Here is a 14134-nt window from a genome sequence, read left to right as displayed (position 1 = left end):
TTCCCTCCAATGATATTCTTTCAATTGCCATATGAAAAATGTTCTCTCTTCTCTGCACTTAATTCTTTGGTCCAGGTATATGTTACTTAATGTATTATACATACATATATATATACACACACACACACACACATACACATACATATTTACTTTATCATGTAAGAGACATTTTGCTAAGAAAGAACATGCTTTCTTCTACTAAAATTGATTCCTACTTTTGAACCATTTGGTTCTTTTATTTAATTAACTAATTTATTAGTTTAATTTTTAATTGACAAGGTAAAACTTTCCCATATTTATAGGGTACATTGTGATGTCTTGATGTACATATACATAGACTGTGGAATGATTAAATCAAATAATTAAATATCTATCACTTCACATATTGATCTTTTTTTGTGATGAGAACATTTAAAATCTACCTTCCTAGCAATTTTCCAGTATACATAAATTAATTATAGTCACTATGCTGTACAATAGATCTCCCAAAGTTATTCCTCCTGTCCAGTGAATCTCTGTACCTTTTGACCAACATCTCCCCACTCCCCACCGCATACCTTGTCCAGCCCCCATGCTACTCTGCTTCTATGAGTTGGATTTTTTTAGTAGAATCTTTTGGTTCTTAAGGGCAGGGATCATCGTACCTTGTATCCCCCATAGGACCTCATATATTTCCTTGATCAAGGATGTCATTAGTAATGATACTGCCTGATATGTTCTGGCTGTGTCCCCACCCAGATCTCATTTTGAATTCCCACACACTGTGGGAGGGGCCTGGTGGGAGGTAATGGAATCATGGGGGCAGGTCTTTCCCATGCTGTTCTCATGATAGTGAATAAGACTCATGAGATGTGATGGTTTTATAAAGGGCAGTTCCCCTGCACAAGTTCTCTTGCCAGCCACCATGTAAGACATGACTTTGATCCTCATTCACCTTCTGCCATGGTTGTGAGGCCTCCCTAGCCATGTGGAACTGTGAGTCCATTAAACCTCATGTCTTTATAAATTACTCAGTTGTGGGTATGTCTTTATTAGCAGCGTGAGAAAAGACTAATGCATTGCTATTATCAAGAGATTCATTTTAAGGTTTCATTGTGGTGTCCATAAGCATCTCCATTATTAATTAGGTATGTATTTTAAAAACTTGTAAACCATACGCAGAAACCTATTACGTTGAAAGCCTAATTTGGAAATAAATTTTCTTTACTTTGGAAGGGGTGCCGTGGTGCCCAATGATGAATTAGGGGCCACCAGGTGTCACTATGTCGATGCTAGCCTGAGTTCCACAGGTTGGGATCTGGGTGAGGGAGGGTCTCAAATGCTATAACTGTGGTGGTAAATAGAGTTTCCACTTACTCACTGGATAATCATGTTTCCAGTATGAGTTTCTCTTTAGAATCCTTTATGGAGCTTGGCATTATTCCTTAAAGTTACACCCCCCACCCCCAGCCAGCATGACAAGCAGAGGTTTAAGGATGAATAGTCAGGCCTAATGGGGAATTTATTTTCTCTGCTGGCTCATGTCACTGCCTCAGCTTGGTTTTATATAGTGTTTTGTGAGTCTAATGTTGCTTATTTGAAAAATGAACACAATATAGGATGCTTGAGTGGTTTCAGTCCAAAAGGAAAACTGCGTATTCGCCAGAAAGAAGGAAAAGGAAAATACATAATAGAAACATTTACAAAACCTAATCCGAAAAGAAAGGTTTACAGGGTTTAAAACTATCTATGTATACATGGGAATAAATTTTATTAATTTATGTGTTCTTGGTAGCTCGACAATCCCAAACATCAGTGGAAGCCAATATTTAAGAAGGTATAAAAAGCAAATCAACCTTGGGCAGGCACAGAAACTCTCCAACCTGTTTTGTTTTTGTCAAAGCTCATTGGACAGCAAAATCTGAAACCCTTTAGAGGAATAAGAAAGGCTTTTTAACTAACATGGGTGTGCTTTATACTACAAAAGTTATTAAGTAAAGATGAGAATATTGTATTTAATATAGAATGTTATTATATCTTGGAAATGCCCCTTTAAATACAGGAGAAAATGAATGGCAAAAGGTTATGGAAAAAAATTATTCACCCAAGGGACGAGCAACTTTTACATAGCAAATGAGGAATTCTAACTGCAAAATTGTATCTTACGTGGAAACCATTTTCTACCCCTTTGCTCTATAAACTCTGAAGATATGAATGCTTCCACAAACAGAATGAATAAATCTCCAATTCTCTATGGCGACAAATCCAGAAAACGGCAGGCTTTATCTTAAAGAAGTTCCACTACTGCACAAAAGCTCTCATGCACAAATAATGGAATTCTCAAATTGGGATAAATGTGCTTTTAAGAATTTTTATTTTGATCATTTATTTCAGGAAACACTTGTGGATCATGCAACATAGCTTTGAATTACAGAGCAGATAAGGAAAATCTAAAAGGAAAAAAATTAGGGCAGGGCTTTATTAATTTTTAAAGTATGTCTTTGCTATCCTCTTATAAAGAGCCAAATAGGGTATCAAAATCTCTGGAGATCACCAGTATAATTTCTTTATCATGTTCCATTTAAAATTTAATTATGCAGTCTACCATAAGAAGAATCTGAGAAGTCTAAATAGGTCACACAGTGAGTAACTTAACAATATTCTAAAGTTTTCCTCATAAAGATCATTCCTTTGATAGTCTGCTACACATCAGAACACTATATTATAAAACAAGTGTAATTTAATTCAGTCACTATGGATTCTTATACGCATCTATAAAGAATTTTGAGAATTAATGAACACCACATTTGCGATGGAGCTGCCCGTGATAGGCGGGCAGTATTTGCATATATACTTCCTTTAAGTGATTGTTATTTTCGTGTATTATAGCAAGGTCAAGGGACTTTTACATTTAATGCTTTGGGTATTCTCTTTTGAATCATCAGCAATAACTCGTAGCAAGGCAACAATCTAGGCACTGCATAATTAAACTCTGAATTTGAGGGTTATATGCCCGATGGCTTGATGCTCTCTCATCTCCACCTCAAATTTCAACTAACATGCAACTTTAATTTCCTTATAATAAGATAAAGAGCAAACACTGTTTTAAGCACTTTACGGGTATCATTTCACTTACTTGTCAGAACAGCTGGCCCTATTATTACCCATTTTACAGATGAAGAAACTGAGGCAGACAGAGGTGAAGAAACTTGCACAAGGTCAAAGAACAAGTAAGTGGCTGAACTGGGATTTTTAACACAAGCCGGAGTTTGGCTCTAGATCATATGCACTGAATCACTTCGCTGGGCTGCTCCTTATAATGTAATATGGTATCTTCTCTTAGACATGAACACACCTAAGCATTGGTAAAATAATTAGCATAATCCTCTCTTTCAGTGAACTAAGATAACAGCTACCACCTATTGATTGCTGTGTGGCAGGCATTGAGCTAAATACTTTACATGGGTTATCTCCACACAGTGATACTATGAGATGGGTGTGATAATTCTTCCAATGTTATAAATGAAAAACTGAGGCAGAGATAATAACATAATAACTTAAGTCCACATGATTAAGGAATGGCAGACACAAGATTCAAGCATTTCTGAGCCCAAAGACTGATCTCGTAGCTTCCATGTTAACATGGCCTCAACAGCAACAGCCAAATTTAGGTTAATAACTTTCCAGCCAATTAAATGAATTTTTCCAGGTGCCCAAGTCTACGGAGCAGTGAGAAGAGTGAGAAGGGTGAGAGAAGGCAGAAATCATACATCTTGTCTACCCCTGGTTCTTTAGGAGAAGGCTTCCTCAATCCTTCCTCCTTCCCTTCCCAATTCAAATATTTATTCATTGATTTAAACATTTATTAATCCATTCAAACACTTATTAATTCATTTAAACATCTATTCAGACGGTCAAACACTTATGCAAATATTTATTCGTGCCTACTATGTTCCAGGCACTGCTAGGCACTGGGGACAAACAACAAATAGTAATAGGATTTTAGTGTGTTTCCTACTTAGCGGAGAAGGTGTAAAAGTCCTCTAGTCAATTATATTATTGGATGACACAGATGCTAGGATAGGGGTTAAAACTGGGGTCTTTGGGAACCAACAGAAGGAACATAAATCTCTTCAGGGCAGAGAAGGTATCAAAGAAACCTAGGATGTGTATAGAACAGTGGTCAGCAAACCTTTCTATAAAAGTAAACAGTAAATATTTTCAGTTTGGGGGCTATACCGTCTCTGCCACAGCTACTCAACTGTGATGTTGTAGCACAAAAATGGTACAGACAACACATAAATAGATGTTATGGCTGTGTTCATATATATATATATTTATAAGCACAGGCCACTATCTAGATTTCGTCTGTGGGCTGTAGTTTGCAAAATCCGGATCTAGAAGAACAAGTGGTAGAGAGTTTGGTAGGGGAGAAAAAGAGCAGAGAGATGACACTGGGCTTTCAAATAGAAGGAAGAACACATACAAAGAGTAGGAGACCAGATCTCAGTTTTCTTATCTCTGAAATGGGGGCTCATATAGTCATTCAACAAACATTTATTGACTGCCAGTTCTGTTCAGGGTCCTACAAATGGAGGAATAAACCGGACAGGCAAGGGAGACATTGTTCTGGAGCTAAGGGGGAAGGGAACAGATCATTTATAAATCAACAAATAAAAAATAGATGACAATAAATATGGCGATGTGATAGGAAGTGTGTTGGGGGGTTACTTAATAGGGTGGTGAAAGGAGAACTTTCTGTGGAAGTAAGTGCGGAGAAAGGCCGGTGTGTCAGAAGCAAAATAAATGAGAAAGAAAGTAGCAGGTGATGAGGCTGCAGAGGTAGATGAAAGCAGCCCTTGGAACCAAAGTGCATTGCATTGATTTTATTCTAAGCAATAGGAAACTCTTACATGATTTTATGAAAAAAACAATATTTTGATGGATGACTTTTCAGAGATCATTTGGACTTCTACCTAGAGAATGAATTGCAAAAGAGGAAGTGGGAAGGACCAATTCAAAGGCCATTTAACAGTTCAGGTGGGAGTTTATGGTGGCTTGGAAAGAGAGAGAGAAAGTAGACAAAGTGAAGATAAATTTTAGGTTGGGCATGGTACCTCACGCCTGTAATCCCAGCATTTTAGGAGGCCAAGGTGGGAGAGGTGCTTGAGGCCCAGAGTTTGAGACCAGCTTGGGTAACATACCAAGACTCCATCTCCACAAAAAATGTTCAAAATTAGCCCAGTGTGCTGATGTACACCTGTAGTCCCAGCTACTTGGGAGTCTGAGGCAGGAGGATCACTTGAGCCCAGGAGTTCGAGGCTGCAGTGTGCTATGATCATGCCACTGAACTTTCATCTTGGCAACAGAGTGAGACCCATTTCAAAAAAAATAAATAAATAAAGATACATTTTGGAGGTTGAGCCAACAAGTTATCTGCTAAGTCTGAGAACAGAAAAAGGTGTTTTTTTTTTTTTTTTTTTTAATGTCACTAGGTTCTCCTTTGAGTGTTGGGTATATGATGATAAGGTGGGCTGAGGTAGGGTTCAAGAGTTCTTTTCTGGCCACATTAAGTTTAAGTTTATGCTTCCACATAGAGAGTCACATTAGCAGCTGGATATTCAGCTGTGAAGCTCAAGGAAGAAGTCAGGGCTGGAGATATATGAATGAGAACCATCTGCATAAAGATGATCTTTAAAATCATGGAGCTGGATGAAATCTCTCTCCACTCCTCCCCACAGGGGAATGGAGCAATGCCCAGGGCGCCCTGGGGCACCTCAACCTGCAGAGGCCAGTCAAGCTGGCAAGGAGTAACAGAAGACTGATGAAGAATGGCCAGCAAGAGAGGAGGGAAACCTGGAGGGCTTGATGTCTCTACAATGAAGAGAGCACTTCATGGAGGAGGAAGTTGTCCCTAGGTTGAATGCAGCTGAGGGACTAATTAAGATCACAGCTAAATGGCCACTGGATTTACCCAGATGGAGAAGAAGAAGAAAAGCACCTACCTGGCATGGATGCCATTCTTTAAGTACTTACAATCCATTCTCCCCTTACCCCGACTCCTACCTTTCTCCTTGCTGACAGAACAGGCCTCCCATTACAAAGGCTGAGAATACCAGAAACCCAATGTCCCCTCCCTAAGGGATCAGGCATGGAAAAGGGATTCCTCCCCTAAAAAACAGTCCCATGGAAGAAGATGGACATGGTCCCCACGTGACGGCTGGAGTTGCTGTGAGCATGAGGTGCGCCTTATCAACATGATGAAGATGGCAGACGGTGTACCAGGGTGCTGGCTGTAGTCCGTTTTGTGCTGTTATAACAGAATCACACAGACTGAGTAATTGACAAAGAACAGAGATTCATTTCTCAGAGTTCTGGAGGCTGGGAATTTCAAGCTCAAAACACCAACATCCGTGTGAGCCTTCTTACGGTGTCCTCACATGGCAGACAGCAGAAGAGCAAGAGAAGACAAACATTGGGTCCTCACATGGCAGAAGAGCGAGAAAAGGAGTGAATCTGCCCCCACAAGCCCTTTTTACGGTGGCATTGATCCGCTCATGACATCAGAGCCCTCATGACCTCACCACCTCCCATTCATTCTCACCTCCCCAGAGTCACATTGAGGAGTAGGTTTCCAGCACATGAATTGTGGGGGACACATTCAGACCATAGAGGCTCTGAATTCACCCTGGGCCTTCTCTGACCTCTTGAACCATAACTACAAACTCAACCTGCATTTTTAGCCTGCTGTAACTACCGAGGCTTTTCAATGGATTCAACCTGAGAAAAATAATAAAGAAGGACATTGTAAGGGAAAGGTTTGTGCAGGAAAGAACTCAGTCACAGGCTATGAGTGGTAGATGCATTAGAAAAGGTGAGGAGGTAGGGGCTGGGGCAGGGAGGAAGAGAGAACACACCTCACCATCTGCAGCTGTGATCGCAGAGTCTGGGTGCTGTATGATGGTTGGGCGCTGGGAGTAGAAAGTTGGGTTGTGAAAGGTATGGAAACCAGTCACTTAGGCCAGAGGGTTTGTTTCATATTTTGAGTCAAGCAGTGAATCTGAAAGAAGACGGTTTGGAGGGTGGCAAGGTCTGGGGACTCTGTGGGCTATCCCCTGGCCTGTACTTACCCACTCTGACCCACTCGCTCCAGTCCTGCTCAGAAGGTTGGTTCGGGATGATGTCCTTACTGCCTCTGATCAGAACTAGCCCATCTCGCTGCTGAAATCCCTTGGGTTTTGTGTTTGCTTCAGTGTTTCCCTAGTTCTCTTATGGGTTAAACACTTTCCCATAGCACTGGGATGATCGGTACCTTCTTCATGCCACTGAACCACTTCAGAGAAGAGATGGTGTCCGTCTGTTTTCTCCCACAACCAAGGTACAGCACGCACTAAGTGTATGCCAAGCTGACAACCATGCTTGGCATATACTTAGTGCATGCTGTACCCTGGTTGAATTAACGATAGAGGATGAACTGTGTCAATACTGAATAGCACCAGGCATGGGCCCCAGGAGAGCTGGGGGAGCTGCTGCTTCCTAGGGATTATAAAGAAGACAGGAAGTGTCCATCCATCGGCTCTAGATGACTCAGTAAGAGGTTGGCCTGGAAGTACCAGCATATTTATCTCTTAATTTTCGAAAGTCTTTCAGAAAATGGCATTGCGTACTGAGGACAGTGAGAAATAGGAGGTTATGTTTCCTATCAAAGCCCTCCATGTAGAAAGGTGAGCTCTCAGAGATGATCTGAATTATCTTTGCTTCCACCGTTTCTGCCTATTGCTACCTGATCTGTCACATCCATGACTGAGAAATATTGTCAGCTGGAGAGGTAAGTCTCTCTCGTCCTTTAAATGGAATCTGTTCGGTTCAAATTTTAGATAACAAAGATCTATGACTTAAGACCAGAATTTCACACGCAAAACGGCATATAACGGCTTTTGTCTCTGACAGTCACACAAACCAGGCATTTCCGTCTTCTTGGTAGCGGCTCTCAGACAGTAATCCTATGGTATACGCCAGTGTTCTAGGTATTGGGGGTTCCCCAATTGCTTAGATTGAATTATGTTTCCTAACCCTCTCACAGAAGGCAAAAAAAAAAAAAAAAAAGCGATCAAGTTACTGGATTAATATACAAGAGAAAAGTCTAAATTTTTCTTTCGTAACTTCTTTAACTGTTGGCCCCTGCTTTCACTGGTTTATACTAAAATCCAGTACAAGATGACATCTGATTTATATACCGAATTATTTTAAGCTTCATTTACGAATACTTCGTGGTCCTCAAAGAACATCCTGACTTTTCGGTGCTGTGTTTAAGAATCAACATATGAATCTCTACTGCAGTACTTAAGATACTTCTGTTAAGGTCTATTATATCCCTTCATTTTCTAAACTGTTTAGTTTATGTTGAAAAACAGTGGACTCTGTTAACAAGGAATTAAAATGCTCCCTTTTTTTCAAAAACAGCAGCTCATAGTGCATGATTACAGTAAAACCTCTGTTGATATAAACTGTGTTTATATCTTTTTTTTTTTTTTTTTTTTTTTTTTTTTGGGACGGAGTCTCGCTGTGTTGCCCAGGCTGGAGTGCAGTGGCGCGATCTCGGCTCACTGCAAGCTCCGCCTCCCGGGTTCACGCCATTCTCCTGCCTCAGCCTCCCGAGTAGCTGGGACTACAGGCGCCCGCCACCACGCCCGGCTAATTTTTTGTATTTTTAGTAGAGAGTGTTTATATCTTTACTTTGCTATCCAAAATAAAATTTTCTCTCTTTATAGGCATTTATATTGAAACCTCATTCCATTTGAACAAGTGGGGTTTCACCATGATTTATTTAAAACACATCTACCGAAACGCAACACCCTTCATCCTAAAAACCAGATCTTGAAAAACATGATTGTAACGGGGAAAACAACTGCTCAGATTGCTAAATTGTCCTTTGCTACAAGCAAAAATAAAAGCAAGGAGTCATTTATAAGATTGAAAATGATTGTTTTCATAGTTCAAAAAATGGTTCCATACATCCCGTTTCCGGGACACTTCAACATAAAGAGATCGGCATGGATAGTACGTGTAGCCAGTTTAAATATTTGTTTTAATCCTAACAAGATCATTGGTTTTAATATTTATAATATAATTTCAATGCTTAGTGCATGTTGCTCATATAATCTAATTTTTTTCTGGTGACTTATTACTACCAGGCTTTAATTTCAGCAATGGCAAGAATTCAAAAACACATTTAGGTTATCATTAGCAATGAAAAACAAACTTAGCGCCTGCCTGTTCAAGCACCTTGGGCACATATCTCATTTCGACTTCAAAGCATTTTTAACTACCCAGACGCAATCCACTGCTACAGCATGCGCACATTTTCACAGAATATTATCCACCAGTGGCCGGAGTGCTTTAAATTAGTACCACGTAAGGTAATTACGGTGGAAATACTCCACCCTTATGCAACCCGTGTAAATGGTCTTTCGGAACATTTCAAGACAGTCATAGCCAATGAAAACCAAACCATAAAACTGTTCTCAAATGCCACCGTCTTCCTTCCCAGCCACATATCACTAGTTGGCAGTTGCCTGAGTTGCATTTTTCCATTTTTCCTAGACGTCACAGCGTAAGCGCACCTTTATGACTAAGTGCAGAAAAAACTCGAAGTGTCATGTTCCACTAATCATTAGCCTACAAACAAACAAAATAACTACAGGTGCCTTGTTTTCCACAGCACCGAGGTATTTCGGGGCTAATTTGTACTTTCCCCGTGACAGGCTGAAGAAATCTGAAAAAAGGCTGAAAGCTGGAACAACTGATGGAATTCTACGAGACTGTACAAACAAACAAACACTAGCAAAAGAAATAAGCTGGACACAAGGGGAGGATTCATCATCAAATCATTACATGATTTCATGTTAATGTGGGGAAGGGAAATATTTGTCAATGGCTATGTCTCAAACTGCCCCTGGAGAAGTCGAAAGAATACCTGAAGCTACATTAGAAGTACGATTGAGAAATCACTGATATATTACTTCTCACTCCTTTATCGCCAGGCAGTACAGTGATTGCAAATTGCAGTTAGAATGGGAATGTCGGCATGTTGTTTATTTTCAACATGATTCGACATGAGAATAACAAAAATTCCTGAAGAAAAATAAGTAGGCTTATTACCGAAATACCACCCACCAAACCTAAGAAGAGAGCAGCCTCTCCCTTGAGTAATAAACCAGCTACAAAAGATCATTCCTGGGGAATATACGCGTTGCTGCTTGGTATTCAAAATACAGCGCTACTTAATAGAATTCCGGGTGCCGACGGTGATTTCTCAGACATCTGAATCATTTTCATCTGTGTGATTACAGCACGGAGTGGGTATCTTCTGACAACATAGAGGTGGTCTGCTTCTTAGCTGCTCTACAAAAGTTTGGAAGTCATTCCTCGTTCCATTATTTCAGGATTGACTTCCTCAGCCCAAACGTGGGTAGACACACAACAATCTCTCTGCCCACACATGATGGGATGCTCAGGTCTTCAGGGTGGACTTTTTCCAGAGTGAAAGCACAAAGACAAACAATTTTAGCGGGGAGACACAAACCAGAACACTCGGACAGTTTTAACCCTGAAAACTGGCACATGATGGAAATGTTTCTTTGGGACGTTATCCAAAGAATGAAGACCTACAGTAATTTAAATATTTGGATCACAGTAAACAGTTTTTTTTTGGCAATATTAATCTTGATCCTATAAGCAAAGATTTTCTTTACATAAAAAAAGCAACCAAATGTGCTTATCTCCGGTAACAGATGGCAACAATTTGTACTTTCCCCTGTTCTCCAGTGCTGTTCATGACAACATTGGGCTCACTCTGCTTCTCCTGTTCTTGAGATTCTCTTGATTTCTACTTCCAACAGTTTCTAGGCAATATCCTAGGACATATGAATACATTCACGCATGATTATCGAGTACCTTCAAAAACTAAGGCACGAGCCAGGCGCGGGGGCTCACGCCTGTAATCCCATCCACGCTTAGGTAGAATGTCTAAGACTCCCTGAGGCCCCAGTCCCACACACTGCTCTGAATCCACACACCCCTTTCCTGCGTCCATCCTTGTTCAAATAGAAGCCTGGGCTCTCCTCTCAAGCTGATCCCATCTGTGCCCTGGATCCCGTGCCCTCTTGCCTTCTCAGGGACTCCGTCCTCTTCCCCTCTCTCCTGATGTCTTCTGCACATTTAGATGAGTAAATTTCTCCTCTCTTTTGGAAACATCTGACATGGCCAGGCACGGTGGCTCACACCTGTAATCCCAGCACCTTGGGAGGCCGAGACAGGTGGATCACCTGAGGTCAGGAGTTCGAGACCAGCTGGCCAACATGGTGAAACCCCATCTCTACTAAAAATACAAAAGTTAGCTGGGCGTAGTGGTGCACGCCTGTAATCCCAGCTACTCAGGAGGCTGAGGCAGGAGAATCGCTTGAACCCAGGGGCGGAGGTTGCAGTGAGCCGAGATCGTGCCACTGCACTCCAGCCTGGGCGACAGAAGGAGACTCCAGCTAAAACAAACAAAAACAAACAAAAAACAAACACCTGGCCGGGCACAGTGGTTCATGCCTGTAATCCCAGCATTTTGGGAGGCCGAGACGGGTGGATCACCTGAGGTCAGGAATTTGAGACCAGCCTGGCCAACATGGCAAAACTCTGTCTCTACGAAAAATACAAAAATTAGCCGGGCATGGTGGCAGTCTCCTGTAATCCCAGCTACCCAGAAGGCTGAGGCAGGAGAATCGCTTGAACCTGGGAGGTGGAAGTTGCAGTGAGTTGAGACTGCACCACTGCACTCCAGCCTGGGTGAAAGCGTGAGATTCTGTCTCAAAAAATAACAACAACAACAACAACAACAAAACAAAGGCACAATCCTTGGTGCTCAGGAGAGATTCTAGATACATTCAATGCCCAGCAAAATACCTCTTAAATTATTGCCCCTTCCTCCCTCCCTTCCTAAGTTTCTTCCTCCCTCCCCAGTCTTCCCTCCCCCATCCCCTCTCCCTCCCTTCCTCTCTTCCTTCTTCCTTCCTTTCTTCTTGCCTCCCCAGTCTTACCCCCATCTCTTCTCCTTTCCTCCCTTCCTCCTTCCTTCCTTCTTTTCTCCATTTCTCCCTCCCTTCCATTAAATGCTGGTAATCATCCTTGATGGCTAGTTATTTAGAGCTTGCATTCTGTTAATCATGTCTTATTTAATATACTGACATAAATATCAAAAACATATAAAACACATTGATAAATTACATATAAAGCACAATGATCAATTACATATTAATTTCTTTCTATGATATAATATTACTAAGTATTTATTTTGATGACAGTGAGAATTCCACTGCACTTATACTATCAATACTATGATGTGAGCTCTTCAGGGGAAGCTCAGGATTCTTTCATAAATCTCTAAGTCCCTGAACACAGTAAGAATACTGAATACATTGAAGAAAAAACCAATCCAATATGTTTTTCGATTGCCAATTCCCGTGAACATAATAAAGGAAGCAGCATGTTTATGATTTCTATGGCATATCTAGCTCATATATACATCTCCAAATATACCATATGACTTCAAAGGAATGTGAATAATCTAAGTCATTTATGAACATGAGCCTCATTACTTCCTGGTTACATCATGTATATGTGACGCATGCATAATTTTTGGCATTTACATGGTGATGTATGAGGTATCAAAATCTGACATGAGGAAGACAAAATGAGAAGACCTCTTACAGAAGACATGGCACAGTACTTCTCTTTGTGGATATAAGAAATCGGGCATAGAATAAGCAAAGCCAGCGTGCTCACCTTGGTAGACTCCCAGCTAACTCTGTGGCCGTCTCTCTGCAGGAAGGAGAAAAAGAAGATAAGTATGATTAAGTTTATTTTGGTGAATTATGAAAATGTATTTAATCACATAATAAGTATTATGGTATCAGGTATAAAGAAGATACCGTACATGCAGGTGGTTAGAAAGTTAAAATTGATTAATTGCATTTCTGATTAATTCCCATTGATCATTCCAATGGTTACTTTCAACGGAAATTTTATACACATGCAAAATATCTGCCTCTACTTTCTGGTGGTTGAATACAATGAAGTTCAAAACATTAAAATGTAAAAATGTACAACATCCAGAAGGATAATAGAAAGAGAAACAAATCCCAAACCACCTTGTAGACATTTACATGTTAAACGAAGCACCAATGATCTTTCTCCAAGAATCTCTGAGAAATGTATTCCTTTGGGGATGTTGCTTCATGTTGACCTCTGTCACCCGAAGCTTATGAAGGAACACAAACAGCACAAAATGGAATTCTTTTAGTAGCAAACTGCTGTTTTTCATTTCTTTGTTATAAAGTTCTACCATTTAGGACTGTTGAAGGTAGATACTATGATAATTCAAATGGCACAAAAGAAAAGTCACTAAAGAAAGGCTTTTGCATATTAATAAAAATGACCAGAGACAAATTTCAAAACTAACTTTGTCCCAATTGCCGTCTCTTGTCTTTCGTTTTCTTTCTTTCTTTTTTTTTTTCAGACAGAGTATCTCTCTTTTGCCCAGGCTAGAGTACACTGGCGTGATCTCAGCTCACTGCAAACTCTGCCTCCTGGGTTCCAGCGATTCTCGTGCCTCAGCCTCCTGAGTAGCTGGGATTACAGTTGTGTGCCACCACGTGCAGCTAACTTTTGTATTTTTAGTAGAGACAGGTTTTTCCACGTTGACCAGGCTAGTCTCGACCTCCTGACCTCAAGTGATCTGCCTGCCTCAGCTTACCAAAGTGCTGGGATTACAGGTGTGAGCCACCGCACCTGGCCCATCTCTTGTCTTTCAATCAGAAATGTATTCTTGGAACGAGAAGGGAACAATGAGTAGAAGGAGGAGATGGAGGCTTTCGGTTGAACTCTTTTAAAAGGAGAGGAGGGCTCAACTTCAAGGGATTAAAGGTGGAATTCTTAGGAACAATGGTATAAAATCTCCTTAGTGTCATATAACCCCTTTAAGAATCTCATTAAAGACACAAACACCTTACATAGAGAAAATAACAATATATACAAACACACAGACTGTGGTACACACTTGCAGACGGTTCATTGACCTCCTGAATCCAATGTGTCAATCCTGGTTAAG

General features: G+C 40.7%; 1 protein-coding gene across 26 annotated transcripts in view; it reads right to left on the bottom strand.

Moving 5' to 3' along the window:
* The window catches only part of CELF2 (CUGBP Elav-like family member 2), an 874126-nt gene that overhangs the window by 403866 nt on the left and 456126 nt on the right, over positions 1–14134 (bottom strand). For all 26 annotated transcript variants that reach the window (XM_047424494.1, NM_001326323.2, NM_001326320.2 and 23 more), the window contains one exon: positions 12811–12846. Coding sequence is in view for 9 of the 26 variants with exons in the window: in XM_047424485.1 (XP_047280441.1) it covers positions 12811–12846 (36 nt within the window). In the remaining 17 variants the exon portion in view is untranslated. Of the gene's footprint in view, positions 1–12810; positions 12847–14134 lie in introns of those variants that run through there.

The sequence above is a fragment of the Homo sapiens genome, chromosome 10 (genome assembly GCF_000001405.40).
Source record: "Homo sapiens chromosome 10, GRCh38.p14 Primary Assembly".
Lineage (NCBI taxonomy): Eukaryota > Metazoa > Chordata > Mammalia > Primates > Hominidae > Homo > Homo sapiens.
Note: the sequence above shows the minus strand (reverse complement) of the source record. Positions and strands in the feature narration are given on the sequence as shown.